The sequence below is a fragment of the Homo sapiens genome, chromosome 4, assembly GCF_000001405.40.
Source record: "Homo sapiens chromosome 4, GRCh38.p14 Primary Assembly".
Classification (NCBI taxonomy): Eukaryota; Metazoa; Chordata; class Mammalia; order Primates; family Hominidae; genus Homo; species Homo sapiens.
The window spans coordinates 149406482-149424271 of NC_000004.12; the positions used below are offsets into that span (position 1 = coordinate 149406482).

At 35.6% G+C, this 17790-nt stretch overlaps 1 protein-coding gene across 8 annotated transcripts in view, besides 1 other annotated feature; it reads right to left on the reverse strand.

The window, feature by feature from the left end:
- The window catches only part of IQCM (IQ motif containing M), a 464135-nt gene that overhangs the window by 54773 nt on the left and 391572 nt on the right, over positions 1-17790 (reverse strand). The gene's annotated exons all lie outside the window — the stretch shown is intronic.
- Positions 2131-3330: an enhancer, noted in NCBI's record as "CDK7 strongly-dependent group 2 enhancer chr4:150329764-150330963 (GRCh37/hg19 assembly coordinates)". NCBI's record gives its function as "activates an origin of replication core promoter dependent on BRD2, BRD4, P300/CBP, MED14 and CDK7 cofactors, with strong dependence on CDK7, by STARR-seq in HCT116 cells {active_cell/tissue: HCT116}" and the evidence as "EXISTENCE:reporter gene assay evidence [ECO:0000049][PMID:35650434]".

Here is a 17790-nt window from a genome sequence, read left to right on the forward strand (position 1 = left end):
AAGCAAGAGACTTAGGAAGACCTGTATAGATAGAACACTGAGAATATCAGAGTGCTCTGTAAGGAGGCAAGGGGTTACAGGTCCTAGTAAGGACTTTAGTCTCTATTCTCAGAGCAAAGTGAAAAAATACATGTCTTTAAGCCAAAGCAGAATATATGACATGACCAGTGTCATGATCATCACACAGCACACAAACTGAATTATTTATTGATGAATTCCTTGAATTATAGCAGCTGTAATATTTTCAATGTTTTCTACTAAGATGCCTACTTTTCAAAAATCTGAGGTAGATGTTAGTTATCTAGATAATTAAATTCTAACAGTCTGTATTAGTCTGTTTTCACGCTGCTGATAAAGACATACCCAAGACTGGGTAATTTATGAAGAAAAACAGGTTTAATGGACTCACAGTCCCACATGGCTGGGGAGGCCTCATGATCATGGTGGAAGGCGAAAGGCACGTTTTACATGGTGGCAGGCAAGATAGAATGAGAGCCAAGTGAAGGCTGGGGAGGCCTCATGATCATGGTGGAAGGCGAAAGGCACGTTTTACATGGTGGCAGGCAAGATAGAATGAGAGCCAAGTGAAAGAGGTTTCCCCTTTTAAAGCCATCAGACTTCGTGAGACTTACTCACTACGATGAGAACAGTATGGGGGAAACCACCACCATGATTCAATTATCCCCCCCCAGGTCCCTCCCACAGCTCTTGGGAATTATGGAGGCTACAATTCAAGGTGGGATTTGGGTCCAGCTAAACCATATCACAGTCTAACAGTTAATTTTCAATTTAATTATTCTACACTGCATTCATAAATTGTAACATCATTTTGAAATTAATTTTTAAACAAATTTTTATGGATTTAAGGGTACAAGTGCAGTTGTGTTACATGATTATATTGAGTAGTGGTGAAAGCTGGGCTTTTAGTGTACATTGTCCACCCAAGTAGTATACAATGTATTCAACAGGTGATATTTCATCCCTCCCCCTGGTGCCCCACCATTTGGAGTCTCCAGTGCCTATTATTCCACTCAATGTCCATGTACCCATTGATTAGCTCCCACTTAAAAGTGGAAACGGATTTTTTTTTAATTTTCTGTTATTGAGTCATTTCACTAAGGACAGTGGCCTCCAGTTTCATCCATGCTGCTGCAAAAGACATGATGATTTCATTCTTTGTTATGCCTGAGTTGTATTACATAGTGTATATGTACCACATTTTTAATGCAATAATCTTTGGATGATGAACAGTGATGAACAGTCAGTTTGGAACAGTTGATGGACACTTAGGTTGATTTCATGGCTTTGCTATGGTGACTAGTGCTACAATAAACATATAAACACAGGATTTTTTATATAATTTATTTTCCTTTGGGTAGATCCCCAGTAGTGGGATTGCTGGATCAAAGGGTATTTCTATTTTTAGTTCTTTGAGATATCTCCATACAGTTTTGTTGTACTAATTTACATTCCCACCTACAGTGTATAAGCATTCCGTTTTCTCTATAGCCTCACCAACATCTGCTGTTTTTTGACTTTTTAATAACAGCCATTCTGACTGGTGGAAGATGGTGGTTCTTATTTGCATTTCTCTGATGATTAGTGATGTTTATCTTTTTTATATGTTTCTTGGTCATTTGTATTTCTCCTTTCATTTTGTACCCCATAAATTTATACAATTACAAATTGTCAATTTACAAAAAAATAATGCCAGGAAAACCAGGTATTTTTCTACTTAAAATTAAACCAACTTATTGTGACATATGGAGTAATAAAGAAAATGAACTATGAATGTATGAAATAGGTGATTATCATATCTAAAATGTGAAAAGTAAACTGGTTATAAAATAATTGACGAAGCATAAATATTGATAAGAGGCATAAGATATGTCATCCTGAAAGCTACAAGAGCTTCTCCTAAACTGATATACTACGCCATCTGAATTTAAATGAACAAAACTGTGGTGTTGTTTCTTTTACCTCTGAATGCCTTTTGTTCCTATCTCATAAGAAATACCCATTAGAAATCAGGCAATTTTAAGAAACAGCTTTAGCAGTCACTCAATCCCCATTCTCTGGTACTATAACAACAGGAGGTGAGTCTTAAAGAACTTGGAAATTTGTTTAAATTTAAGGTTCTAATAAGTTCCAAATATGTTTTTGATTATTATCCTCAGTATGTTTGTGTTTATGTATGTGTACACATATCATTGAATATTAGGTTATAAAAGGTAAAAAAAATTATCATTTGAGGCTTTTCTTTTTCTTTTTTTAGATAATACCATAGCAGAGAAACACAACTGCTGTTCTTTAAGAGCAGACATCTCCCCAGCTGATGCTCTCAGGTTCACCAGAAGTCTAGCAGCTGGTACATAATATGAAAGAAAAGGCAGGGAGGTCTAGACGTGTTTTTTTATGTCATTCAAGAAAAACCCCACCTTGCTTCAACCTAGCTGTTCAACATTTTGTGTACACATCGCAACCTTTAACAAAATTACTTTCTGCAAATACTTCTATTTTCCAAACCAGGTAAAGTTACATAAAATGATCAACAACTCTCCATAACACTCTTGAAGATGGTGGAAATACTGCCCCATGTCATTCTGGAAAATAAGGATGGGCTCCCTACCAGCAGAGGTCTTGGGCTACTTCCAAGGCCTTTGGAAATGATCCAGTGAGTGAGAAGCCAGATCAGAAAATATTTACTGAAGATGCACAAAAGGTCAGTCAAGATGGGGCCTCAGATGTTACAAATGACTCTAGGATGGGTGCAAGGAAGCATGTGTGAATTGACAGACTGAAAGGCTTAGCAGGGGTTGGACTGTGGCCCATGCCAGTCATCCTCTAGCCCAGGAATTCATGGCCCACACCAGAATGGCCTCCACTCAGATATTTTGGCACTCCCGATGGCTGCACGCTGAGTCATAGGATGTGGCAAATAGTCCAGCAATTATCAATCTGGCATTTCACTAAGTAGAAATCACGGGGCTGCTTTTGTTCTATTTTGTGAACGCCCAACTGGCAAACAACAAAACAAAGGATAGCAGAAAACTTTTTGAAGTTTCTTCACCAACTCCCTTTTTGAAGTCAGTTGGAAATTTGTGTGGTGACATAGGGTGTAACTGTTTTTATAAATAAAAGAGAAAGAATAGTGTGTGCAAACGCTTCTGAACAGCTCTGAATTCTGCCTAATGAGCTGGGATGCTGAAAATATTCCTGTTCTCCCTGGTGTTTCCTCCACCATTTATGAAGACCCTCCACACTCCCTCTCTAAAAGCAGCAAAAGCCTCGGTAGTGAAGCAGTAGCACAGAGAGGATAAGCAGGCAGCAGCAATAGCCTGTTATTGGTCTCTACCTCTCCTGCCAGCTGGCCTTATTCACACTGCATCCAGTAGCACAGCCTGGTAAAAGAATCAGTTCTTGGCCTGGCCCGGTGGCTCATGCCTGTAATCCCAGCACTTTGGCAGGCCAAGGCAGGTGGATCACGAGATCAGGAGTTCAAGACCAGTCTAGCCAGGATGGTGAAACCCCGTCTCTACTGAAAATACAAAAATTAGCCAGGCATGGCGGTGGGCAACTGTAATCCAAGCTATTTGGAGGGCTGAGGCAGAGAACTGCTTGAACCCGGGAGGCAGAGGTTGCAGTGAGCCGAGATTGCGCCACTCCACTCCAGCCTGGGCTACAGAGCAAGGCTCCATTTAAAACAAACAAACAAACAAACAAACAAACAAAAAACCCCACAGTTCTCACAGCCAAAAGGTCCCAAACTGCTCCCATTTGCACCCTAGCACTCCTTCAAACCACAATTTTAACTAATACTATTTATAGTACTATATTTATAGACCATATTTATATAGCAAACAAGGTGGCCTTAAATTATCAAAATAAGCTTTCCCTCTTGGACGGAGATTGTTCCACAAATATATATATACACACACCTGTGTGTGTGTGTGTGTGTGTATTTAAATATTTTTATATATTTTTTCATATTATATATCAATATATGATATATATTCTAATATAAATAACTAAAATTTATGTAATATTTTCATTTTGTAATTTATAAACCACTGGCTTGTCATGAAAAATTTGTATTTCTATATACTGGAATTCAAGATCAAGGATATTAACAGTAGCATTCACATTGTCACACTTTTTTTTTTAACAGGCAAATTGCTCTTGTACCTTTGCCTTATGAAGAGCTATTTTCAATGACATTTAGGCTAAAATTAGTAAAAAGTCAGACTTCTATCTTTATCTAATGATATCTGATGAAGATGAAATTTTGTGGCTTTAGGTGACTGTCTTAACAAAGCTATGTTAGTGCTGGCCAATAGTTAACATAGACAAAGGACCTATTCCTAACCCTTCAACAGGATAGATGTTATTGATTGATTTCACCTCACTGGATTTTAATTTTTATATTGGATATGTATAATATTGTGGTGAACAAATGAGCAAAACTCTTTTCTGTTGCTGTTTTAAATTCTAGAAAAGAAAAAGAAATAAAATTAATAATCTTCTTGTGTTTCTAAAAGCTAAGAGTTGTCTTCTTTGTTGCCATTGATATGGGCATCCTGTTTCTAACAATGGTCTTTTCAAAAAAACTGAAGTTCATCAAAATCACCTATTACATCATAGCACTTCTATTGCAATATCCCTGAAATTTATAAAACTCAGGTATCCTCAATACTTCACTTTCAATAGTATTTAGCAGCAATTTTTTTCTACAATGTTTTTCAAATATCATTTTTACATGACTAATATTTTAGTGTATTTTAAAGCAAAATACAGACTTTGTTCATTACAGTTCTGTTGCAGAAAACAGAATTGTTTAACAGTTCAAAATATGTTTGTATTTTTACACATATTTTGGTTATGAAAGAAGGTGAAAAATCTGTCAGTAAAAGAGCTAGTTGTAGCTAACATTTTTTGAGTGCTCACTATGTGTCAAGTCTTCTTTTGGGTGACAAATTATGTATTAACTAATTTGTATTTGGGAATGAAAATTTACTTGGCAACATTAACAGAGACTGAAATAAATAAATCACTTTTCAACTATATAGAAAAATAAAATTTATTGATCAAATATTTCACCCAGACAAAGAGAAGAAAAAGCAAAGGAAAGGAATTTCCAAGATGTTTTTCACTAGGTTAATATTTCTAGTTCACCTTAAAATTAATTTTATTAGATTAAGAAAAGTACTTACATTTACTAGGAAGAATAATAAAAATGACTGACAATTATTAGGTATTTTTAATTGGGTACTATGCTATGTTACTTAAATATCTTACATTATTCAATCAACACAATACTGTTTTATCAATTTTTAAAAACTAGTGCTAAGGAAAATAAATACTATGTCCTATGACACACAACTGTAGCAATGGAGCTGAGATTGAGCCCAGATTGTTCTTTTTTTCTACTTCAGAACTGAAGGTCTCAGCTAAGATATGTGGGTTTTTAAAAGTATCATATAATTAAGCTATATAGTCTTTTTAGATGGATATCATCATATATTTTAAATGTCTTCATAGATCTTTACACGTATTTCTTAAAACATGTAACATTTAGTGTGTGTGTTTGTGTGTGTGTGTGTGTGTGTGTGTGTGTAAAATTCTTCAGTCTTCCCACACTTGCTCACCTTGCCACTCTGCAATCAATCTTGGAGAACAGATAAAGGAATACAAGGGAGGTGGCCCCACAGTAGATATGCTGGTCTAATAGTTATATCTTTGAGTCCCATGGAGAAAAAAGTACAAGCCCAGGCCACCCTGAGCCTAAGAAATTCCTCAAAACTTGAAAATAAGGCTAGTGAGGTTTTCTTCCCTACAGTACTTAAATTATAATATCTTTTTATTTTTTGACCATTAAAAAACCAACTGTAGATTACCTAGACCCCTCCCAAAGGGTCCTAATTCTTATATTTGTATTCTGACATCTTCTTTGAGTCATTGTGCACTGACCAAATTTCAAACCATATATTTGTTTGCCTTACTGTTGGTTATAAGCAGTAGTAGTACCTCTGTAGTACAATCTCACATTTCTTCTACTCACTCATTCAAAACTATTTACTGAGCACTTGTGATGTAGCAGTAACATGTGAGGTGCTGTAGATAGAAAGATTAATAAGATATGGCTCCCACCTTCCATAGTTCAGTATAGGACTCAAAAGACAGATATGTATAGATCTAAATCATAATGTGCTGTGCTAAGTGTTTTCAAAATGTCTGAATAATGGAGTATGCAAATTCAGAGGAGGCAGCAACTACAGAAATCTTAATGTTTTATATCATGGTGTCATGTTTTAGATTTAGTTAATGTATGTGAAGGAGTTTCCAGTCCAGAAGGAGAGCAGGGCTTTTCTGTAAGAGGGAACATGTGCTAAGGCATGCCCAGGGAAAGTTAAAAAGTTCAGAGTGGCAAGGAGGTAGGAGAGTGGTGGGTGATGGAGTGGAGAGAAAGCTGCCAGGATCAGACTGTGAAGGAGTCTGAGTTTTGTTTTCAAAGCCAGTGGTCTCTAAAATCTTTTATTGTTCACCTCCATTAGCATGAATCCCCCAGTATACTCATATTTATCTGTGTATAGATGAACATGTATGCACATTATAAAACACACATTAAAAGTACAAATTTCAAAAATACAAGATAACAATTTCAAATAGAAATGCTAAGATTGCCTTTTCCTACCTAATAGTTCATTCTATGTCTGTTTACCCTATTTTAGAAACTACTCATTTGGGCAATGACAATACAGAAGATGTGAAAACAAGCAAATGCTGAAATCAGCTTTGCCTGTTAAAGAGACTAACTCAGGAAGAAGTAAGGAGAATAGATTGAAAAAGGAATCTAGTGGGAAAGAAATCGGGTGGAGCCCAGAGCGACTGTCCAGGAGATAATGGGAACCTCAGCTAAACCTGTAGCGGGGAGCAGAGGCTGACGCTGAGATAGGGTGGGCAGGGGAGTGCAAATGCCAGGATGCCATCTGCCGTGGCTGCTCAGAACCACACACACACTAGGAAGAATAATAAAAATGGCTGACACAGTTCCTAGGAGTACTCTTCTTCTGCATGCTCTATATCAAGACTTTAATAAGGAAAAATCAATGAAATAGAGAAAAGTAAAACAAAGAGCAGTGTCTAAACAAAATTTACAGAGTTCGATTTGGGCTGTGAATAGGTGAGTGTTCATTACATGTCTCCATGTTTCTCTGTTTTTGAAATATTTAAAAATAAAAATATAGCTTATTCACGTGCTTATATTTTTTAAATAAACTTCATTAACTAGTGGAGAATTTTGATACCTCTGACTATTAAACATTAAATTCTCCTTACAGAAACTAAACATTTTTGTTAAATTCACTGAAATGTTGACATGTGAGAATTTCTTACCTTAAAATAACTAAACATTTCATGCATCTGGAGATAGGTGCAAAATTGCTATCAACTCTCTTCTTCTGTTACAAAATTAATGAGTATTCAGTGAAGCCATAACAAAGAATTTTCCTCTAGGCATGTTATAAAAACATTTCTAGTTCTAGTATTAATGCAAAGTCTTGCTTGAGATCCAGTGGTTTTTTAAAATGCACATTTTTGAAAATGACAAATGCCACACAAAAGAATTGGTTTGATTTCTCTTATATTTTAAACCCGTCTTATTTATCATCTCCTCTCTTATAATGAATGTTTTCCTGACAGAGGATTGAGGAACAATTAATGAGTAAATTCAGAGAATTCTCCTCTCTTCATCCAATTGCTTAAGGACATAGAGCTCCAATACATTCTGAATATCACCAAAGTATGTGGTCAATTCTACTGTATCTTCTTCATAAAAGATGATTTTGCCCAAAACCGATGCCTCAAATTACCTCAGGAGTAAGAGATTTCCTTTCACGATGACAGTTTTTCTATTATATAAGAATGCTAAGGTCTGAATTTCAGTCTCTGATTCATGGTACATTCATTTGAGTCCCACTATGAGAGAAAAGCAGTTTTGGAAAGCAGAGATGTGAACCTGAGAGAGTGCACAGAGCCATATATTAGTGAAATAAATAATCATCGATACACTCAGAGTTTGTCCATTATAGTCCTTACGATAAAAATTTAATACTTTCATTTTATCTTTTCCTCTCCCTTTTTAAGTGCCCCCATGATAATTTTCTGTATTTTATAGATATTTTTCAATTATATAACTAAGATTTATGTCATTAATCTTTATAAGTAAAAAAATTCAAAATTTTTTAAAAATTAAAAAATAAGATTTCTCCTTCTAGCAACAATATACCTATTTAAGAATTTTATTCTCACACTGATAGAATAATCGGAAGTCTCAAATATAAAATTTAATAGATTAAAAGTTTTAATTGATTTTTATAGGACGATAAGTCACAGAGAAAAAATATCAGGTATATTGAAGCAAGGTAAAAAACCCTCTCTGGCTTGTAGATTCATGAAGAAAAATACTTTGCATCAAATATAATAAAACTATATTTTGTAACATAGATCCAGCTATCTATATTTTCTTTCATAATTCTTATTTTTCATTTATGTTCCATAGTATTTGTATCTGGCTGAAAATAAACTCACTTTATATGACTTCTAAAAATGTCAATTATGCTGGAAAAAGAAATGGATACTTTGATTAAAATGCCATCATGTCACAGTTTCATCATATTTAAAAATGCATGTAGAGAAGGATAGCCTTGAACATTTGAAGTTTTCAGGTTACCTAGAAAAATTACATTGCAATCATTGGCTTCTGAAGAAAGCTCAATCACCATTTCTTGCTCATCATTCTTTGTAATTGATGATACCACTATATGAAAGAGAACCTGCCATCCACTGACTGGGGAATCTTGTGCAAGACATCATTCTTTAAACTTCAGTTTTCTACTATGCAAAATGAAAAAGAAAGTATCTATGTATTGCTTGCCTCGGTATTATGGAAATGATCACAGTGGTAAGTGTGTTTTATAATTCTTTCTGTAAATCACATAATAAATGGAAATATTCACAAGGAAGACAGCAGGAACATCCTTGCTAGAACACCAAATGATTGTTACTCTGTTTTGTGGCTCCTGCTTTTTTTTAGAATAGGCAGAGTATTTTTCTAAATTTTTCCACCTAACAGCAATGTTCACCCTACATCTAATCATAAATTGCAACCAAAATTGGAAAAAAGGAGTCAGGGATGAGACTAATAATAGAATATTCCATAATGGAATATGTAATATTATAGGTAAAGTAGTAATAAGCTCTGCAAGGATAGCTTTTCATAAACTCATCTATTCAGAGTCAGAGAGCTGGGTAGTGAGGTTGGTACAAAATCCCATCTCAGTCTAGAAAAGCTGAACTGGGTAAAAAGCCTGCTAGTACACACTTGGACACAGGAAGGGGAACATCACACACTGGGGCCTGTCGTGGGGTGGAGGGAGGTGGGAGGGATAGCATTAGGAGAGATACCTAATGTAAATGATGAGTTAATGGGTGCAGCACACCAACATGGCACATGTGCATATATGTAACAAACCTGCACATTGTGCGCATGTACCCTAGAACTTAAAGTATAATTTTAAAAAAGCCTGTTAGTAGAGTTAATTTAGAATCCTAATCAGATGACTGAGTGCTTATGACCCATAAAAAAACCTGGTTAGCACTAACCAACCCAGACAGATTTTTCTTCATTTAGGGATGAAGATACAGGAATCTTGGGATCAATCTCTCTCTTTCTCTCTCTGTCTGTCTCCCTCCCTCCCCCATGGAGCCTTAAAAATAATACTGCAGAACATAGTGATCCTGAAGATTTAAATAAATAATATATTCCTGAGAAAATATCTATTTTTGTATTCAATATAATTTTTTTTAGAAACTGGTACATGGTCTCTATAAATTAGAAGTCCGCATTCATTTGTTTAAATAAAAGGTTATTAGGTGAGTATTTTCTATGCTCCAGGCATTTTCATCTCTTTCATAAGGCAGTGTTTCTCAATTTTTGGTATACATTAGAATCTCCTGAGTAGCCTGAAAAACAGTAAGTGATGCCTGGGCCCCACCCCAGACCTTATTAGTCAATGCTGTCTAGGTCGGTGATTCTAGTGTGCGGCGAGGGCTGAGAAACCATATGGCTAGCAGTGGAGGACACACCTGTAAACATAGGTGGCCATAGTTCTTGAGGTAAGAGTTACTTCATGAACAGAGAAATGATATAATTTTAGGTATTGATTAGAGGAGATTTCAGGCAGGGAAATGGCATGATCCAATTCACATAGTTATAAACCCTTCTGCCTTTGTGTGGAATACAGACCAGGTGGGCAAGAGGAAGATTATTAGACTTTAAATAGTCCAAACTAGAGTTAAATAATGTGACTTGAACAAGAATGGAAGAAGTAGAAAGCAAGGTATGTTTTCAGCACTGGAAAATGCTGAGAGCTGACGAAGCTGGATAATGAGGTTCACTGCTATTCTGTCTGTTGAAAATTTCTGTAACAAAAAACTGTCTAAATATATAAAATAACTGAGGAATTGCTTTTAGGCTTTTGAGGGAAAAGATTTAGACCTAAGACTCTCATATGGTTTCCAGTTTTACAAAGGCAACAGAAAGACTTTCACAGGGAAGTGAAGACTTACATAATTTTCAAATTATTTTAGACATACTTTAGCAGATGAAGAGATTAATCAAAACTCAATTCAAGATTGCAAAGTTGCATAAAATAGTTTTTTTCTTACTCAGTTTGCAAATTCAAGGACCCCAGTAGATCACATGTTGTCGGAACATTTGCCACAGGCTGATCTGGCCTTGTCCTTAAGAATCCTTTAGAATTCTCCCTAAAGCTTGGAGGAGAGATTCCCTGGAGATCTATCTGCATGTTCATCTCTTGCACATGGATTTTGATCCCCTCATGTCAGATCGGAAGTGAAGTACAGTTTACGTGCCAGGAGGACATGGTGCTGTGAAGCTTGGTTGTTCTGGCATACTTTGGTTCCACTGGAACTAATCCTACCTGAACATATTTCTGGGTGTCACCTTATTCTGTTAGCTTAAGTCCAGTGAAGTTTAATTTAATAATCTTCTAATGTGACTAAATTAGAAACATAATTCATTATACATCACAGTGGACATTTTTAACAGGTGCATCACAGATTGGTATATAAAACCAGCTAGATTCAAGGTCCACAATTTAACATTCAAAGTTGTACAATTGAGTCATCCCTCTCTGTTATGCAGGAGAAAGACACACTTTACTGTCTCCTCTGTAATGATTTGCCATTTAGGTTCCAAGCTAGTGGGGATATGTTCAGATGCCAAATGCAACAAAAGCATTCTCTATTTCCCTTTTTCCTTTTTTTTTTTTTTTGGAAGGCACTTTGAAGTTTGTAAAAATAGCCACTTGAAGATTGTAGGAATTTATCCACAGCAATTGTGGTTTATGGGATGAATGATAATTATCACCTATATAGTCTTGAGCCTAGCAAATGCTAAAACAGTGTTAAGGGGGAAATTTATAGCACTAAATGCCCACATCAAAAAGCTAGGAAGATCTCAAATTGACACCCTAACATCACAACTGACCACCAAGAGCAAACAAACCCCAAAGCTAGCAGAAGATAAGAAATAAGCAAGATCATAGAGGAACTGAAGGAGAGAGAGACCAAAAGACCCTTTAAAAAATCAATGAATCCAGGTTATGGTTTTTTTTTTAATTAATAAAACAGACCACTAGCTAGACTAGTAAAGAAGAGAGAAGAATCAAATAGACACAATAAAAAAAGATAAAGGGGATATTACCACTGACCCCACAGAAATACAGCCATCAGAGAATACTATTAACACCTCTATACAAATAAGCTAGAAAATCTAGAAGAAATGGATAAGTTCCTGGACACATACACCCTCCCAGGACTGAACCAGGAAGAAGTTGAATCCCTGAATAGACCAACAATGAGTTCTGAAATTAAGGCAGTAATAAATAGCCTACCAAGGAAAAAACACGCAGGACCAGATGGATTTACAGCTAAATTCTACCAGAAATACCAAGAGGAGCTGATACCCTTTCTTCTGAAACTACTCCAAAGAATTGAAAAGAAGGAACTCCTCCATAACTCATTCTATGAGGCCAGCATCATCCTGATACCAAAACCTGACAGAGATTCAATAAAAAATTAAACTTCAGGCCAATATCTCTGATGAAGGATATTCAAATAGGAAGAAAAGACATCAAATTGTCTTTGTTTGCAGATGCCGTGATCCTGTATCTAGAAAACCCCATCATCTCAGCCCAAAAGCTTCTTAAGCAGACAAGGAACTTCAGCAAGGTCTCAGGATACAAGATGAATGTGCAAAAGTCACAAGCATTCTTGTACACCAACAACAGGCAAGCAGAGAAACCAACCATGGAGGAACTCCCATTCAAATTGCTACAAAGAGAATAAAATACCTAGGAATACAGCAAACAAGGGAAGTGAAGGACCTCTTCAAGGAGAACTACAAACCTGCTCAAAGAAATCAGAGAGAACACAAACAAATGGAGAAACATTCCATGCTCATGGAAAGGAAGAGTCAATATCATGAAAGTGGCCATACTGCCCAAAGTAATTTAGAGGTTCAATGCTACACCCATTAAACTACCATTGAGATTCTTCACAGCTATAGAAGAAACTATTTTAAAATTCATATGGAACCAAAAAAAGAGCTCCTATAGCCAAGACAATCCTAAGCAAAAAGAACAAAGCTGGAGGCATCATGCTACCAGACTTGAAACTATACCACAAAACCACAATAACCAAAACAGCATGGTACTTGTATAAAAACAGACACATAGACCAATGGAACATAATAGAGAACTCAGAAATAAGACCAAATATCTACAACCATCTGGTCCTTGACAAACTTCACAAAAACAAGCAATGGGGAAAGGATTCCCTAATTACTAAGTAGTTCTGGGAGATCTGGCTAGCCATATGCAGAAAATTGAAACTGGATGCCTTCCTTACACCTTATACAAAAATTAACTCAAGATTGATTTAAGACTTAAATGTAAGACCCCAAACTATAAAAACCCTGGAAGAAAATCTAGGCAATACCATTCAGGACATAGGCATGGGCAAAGATTTCATGATGAAATCACCAAAAGCAATTGCAACGAAGCCAAAATTGACAAATGGGATCTGATTAAACTAAAGAGTTTCTGCACAGCAAAAGAAACTATCATCAGGGTGAACAGGCAACCTACAAAGTGGGTGAAAAATCTTGCAATCTACCCATCTGACAAAGGTCTAATATCCAGAATCTACAAGAAACTTAAACAAATTTACAAGGAAAAAACAAAAAACCCTATTAAAAAGTGGGCAAAGGATGTGAACAGACACTCCTCAAAAGAAGACATTGACATGGCCAACAAACATATGAAAAGAAAATCAACATCACTGATCTTTAGAGAAATGCAAATCGAAACCACAATGAGATAGTATCTCACACCAGTAAGAATGGTGATTATTAAAAAGTCAAGAATCAACAGATGCTGGTGAGGTTGTAGAGAAATAGGAATCTTTTTACACTGTTGGTGGGAATGTAAATTAGTTCAACCATTGTGAAAGATGGTGTGACAATTCTTCAAAGATCTAGAACCAGAAATACCATTTGACTCTGCAATCCCATTACTGAGTATATACCCAAAGGAATATAAATCATTCTATTATAAAGACACATGCACATGTATGTTCATTGCAGCACTATTCACAATAGCAAAGACATGGAATCAAACCAAATGCCCATCAATGATAGACTAGATAAAGAAAATGTGGTACATATACACGATAGAATACTATGCAGCCACAAAAAGAAACAAGATCATGTCCTTTGCAAGAACACGGATTATCCTCAGCAAACTAATGCAGGAACAGAAAACCAAGTATTACATGTTCTCCCTTATAAGTAGGAGCTGAAAAATGAGAACACATGGACACAGGGAGCGAAATAACAACACTGAGGCCTGCTGGGAGGTGGGGTGGGGACAGGAAGACCATTGGGAAAAATAGATAATGTATGCTGGGCTTAATACCTAGGTGATGGGTTGATAGGTGCAGCAAACCACCATGGCACACATTTTCCTGTGTAACAAACCTGCACATCCTGCACATGGACCCCAGAACTTAAAACAAAAATTAAAATTAATTATAAAAAGAACTACAATTACCTCAAACTTAAAACAAGAAACTGAAACCACAGACACCAGGTTATTATTATAGAGTGAGTACTGGTAACATATATAGGTTGTATATTATATAGTAATTATGTTTTGAATTTAATGGAAATTTTGACTTCCAATGATAAAAATCATCCTCTTGACTTTTGCCTATACCTATGGCAAGGTGTAGTGAGGCACCAGCATCTGCTATAAAATTCTTCTCCCATCCATCTCTTCCACTTTTCTCTTCTGCCTCTAAGTCTTACTATTAAAGTCTATAGTAGGTGCCCATTAGACAGACTGTCAGATGGAGGTTATTATGCATAATTATGACCAGCACAAATGTTCAGTAGTGCCAATAATTATGACCAGCACAAATGTTCAGTAGTGCCAAAACATTTTATTCTCTGCATATTTTTAAATTCAGGCACTCTGGGAGGCCATCTGTGTACTGCATAGATAGAAATCTATTCAATGTCCAGTTGCTCCATGATTCTTTTTGTCTCTACATTGCTACAGATTCCTGGGTACATAATAACACAGTATACACTTTAGAGTATTCGTTAAATAAATGAATATATACATGAATGAAGATTTGAACCTTTCCTTCCAATAAGCTGAGATAGAATCAATTATTTTTTGCACAGATATGTGTCGAACTTACACTGAAAAAAAAGTGGGCCACACCACCAAAAATATGAAGAGAACACAACGGTGATGTGAATGTATAAAAACAGATATGTGATAATCATGATCTGATTACTGAGATCTTCCCATCCATAAATAAAATAAATATGGTCAAAATTGTTAGAGAACATCTATTATTTGCAACATGCCACAAAGATAAATTATTTTTTATAAAATTTTAAGTGTTTTATACACACAGCTGTCAATATGTTTATTAAATAACTCTAGTATCCAGGTGTTTGCATATCAAATGAAACCTGGGAGCCTCTACATTTTTTTTTGTATTCATCATTCACTATTTTCCCACAGTATGCAAATGCTACAGCTAAATAAACTATATGCATAGGTTGATTTTAAGTCTAAAGTATCTATATTTATATAAAAATCTATGCTTCAAATTTTAAACGCTTTAAGGAAAAAAGACAAGTATGGTTTTAGTATAAGATTTACATGCCTGTTTAATCTAATGTTAACTTTAAAGACATTTAAAATGTTCTATGCCCTGCAGGTATGCTTATTTAACAGGCTAATTTATTATAATATTATATAATCAAAACAGGATTCTGGCAAACTATATTTGAACTGAGATTTACATAATGACATACCTTTAATAGAAAGTCTTATCAGCTCCCTACAATTATCAAATGTTCTAATTTAACTGACAGTCAAACAATACAGAGGACAACTATAAAAATTCCAAAGTATTGTGAAAACATCTTCACTTCACTATGCTGCAGTCTTGGTGGGGGAAAAGTCATCATTCTCCCCTAGGGATAATAATTTTCAGCTTCAGCAACATTTACATCTAATAAGTATCAGTTTTGTTTTATGAAAGATTTCAGAATGAAGTGCTATTTCCTACTACTTAATATGTGTAGTTGGAAAAGTAAAGGAATTGAGCTTAAAATAGGCATACAAAGCAAGATTTGAGGGGCCAAAAATGCATGATCAGAGCTTTCAAAAAAGGTTGGTACTCAACATGTCCACAGGCAACAAGTTTACAAGGCTAGGGTACCTTAGTCCAAGGCCTTTGACTCACCTCTACTCCCAAGAAAGCAATAGGGGGAGCGGGCAGTATTTCTTTCAGATTTTCCTTCAGAAAATATACAAAGGGCAAAACCAACAACCTATTTTTAAGCTTCAGGAAAACAAAGAGAAAAATAAAGACTAATAAATAGACAAATGTTATGTTTACTTTGCCCAGAGAAATTACTTTTCATAAAAAGCCAGGAAGTTTGGGAGATTGTGCATGTGCGTGTGTGTGTGCGCACGCATGTGTGCATGAAGGGGGTGGAGTATGGACCTAATGTGACCCTGAATTTGAATCCTCAAAGCAGTTAAAATTAAGGACATGATCATGAACAAGCCACTTAGCCTCTGTGCCCTCAGCTCCTCAATTCAAATATTCTTCTAATACCTCCTAACTGGCTCTCTGTAAACATCAAAAGGAAGTTGGCATAATATCCCACTCAAGGTTTAAATATTCTATAGTTATAAATAGTTTTATAAAATCGTGGAAGAAACTATGACAAAATAATAAAAAGTGGTTATATTAGAGAGTAAGTGCTTGGTTTGCAATTTTACAAATTTTTTGCAATCCACTTTAAATTTATGCATAAAATATTGATGCATAGGACATTATAGTTGATCACTGTATGATGAAATAGTGTTAATCCTAGTAAACAAATGCATTATTTTTAATTATCATTATTTTAGAAGGGCTGGTTATGCCAACTTGGAATGTCTCTGTATAAGTCAATTTTTACACTTGTATAAAGAACTTCCTTGAGGCTGGGTAATTTATAAAGGAAAGAGGTTTAATTGACTCACAGTTCCACATGGCTGGGGAGGCCTCAGGAAACTTACAACTGGTGGAAGGGGAAGCAGGCACCTTCTTCACAAGGCAGCAGGAGAGTAAAGAGCAGGGGAAACAGCCACTTACAAAGCCATCAGATCTCGTGAGAACTCACACACCATCATGAGAACTGCATGGGGGAAACCTCCGTGATGATCCAATCGCCTCCCTCCCTGGACAAGTAGGGATTACAGGTTCCTCCCACGACACTTGGGGGTTACAATTCGAGAGAATATTTGGGTGGGGACATAGAGCAAAACTGTATCAGTCTCAGTTGAGTGGACTCTTTCTGTGAGCTTTGAATAATGTTAAAGAAGCCCTTACTGTTCTCCAAAGATGTTGACAGCCTCCATGCTCCTCTCCCTTGCAAAGTGTTTTCTTTAGCTTTCCTCTCAACATTGCTTAGCAGAACAACGGAGCACTCACTGTGTGGTTGTTTTACATCACTCATCACTGTCTATCTTTTATTGTGGTTAATTATTTATATATATCTTTTACCCAGTCTAAACCAATACATGAGAGGGAAGATGTTTTATTTACCTTTGAATCCTCCTCATGTCTATCATAGGGTATTGAATACAGACACTTAATAAATATTTGTGGAGTGACTGAATAATGCCCTTATCTCACCTTGGATTTTTGCCTCCCAATGGTAAATTTATATTTTATTTATTAAATAAAAAATTTAAATGTTAAAGAACTGCCATACTACATTACAGCCATATGTTATGGCAATCTTTGAATGAACCCAGAGACAGCAAATAATTTCAATATATAAATAATAAAAATGTATTTATCCTTAGTTTGAAAACATAGCTTAGCTGCTATAGTAATCCTTCATGTACACATTAAATAGTTTATGCACAAATACCTACTATGGGCTGAGAATTACAGTGGGGAATAAGGATAAATAAGTGGAATGTTTCTCAAAAGCTTACAGAACTATCAGAGATTTCTCAAATAAATATTATATATTTCACATGTATTTTAAAATGTAAAACTATTTTTAAATAGTTTTGAAATATGACATAATAAAATGGCCTCATTTCTCCTTTTCATTGAAAG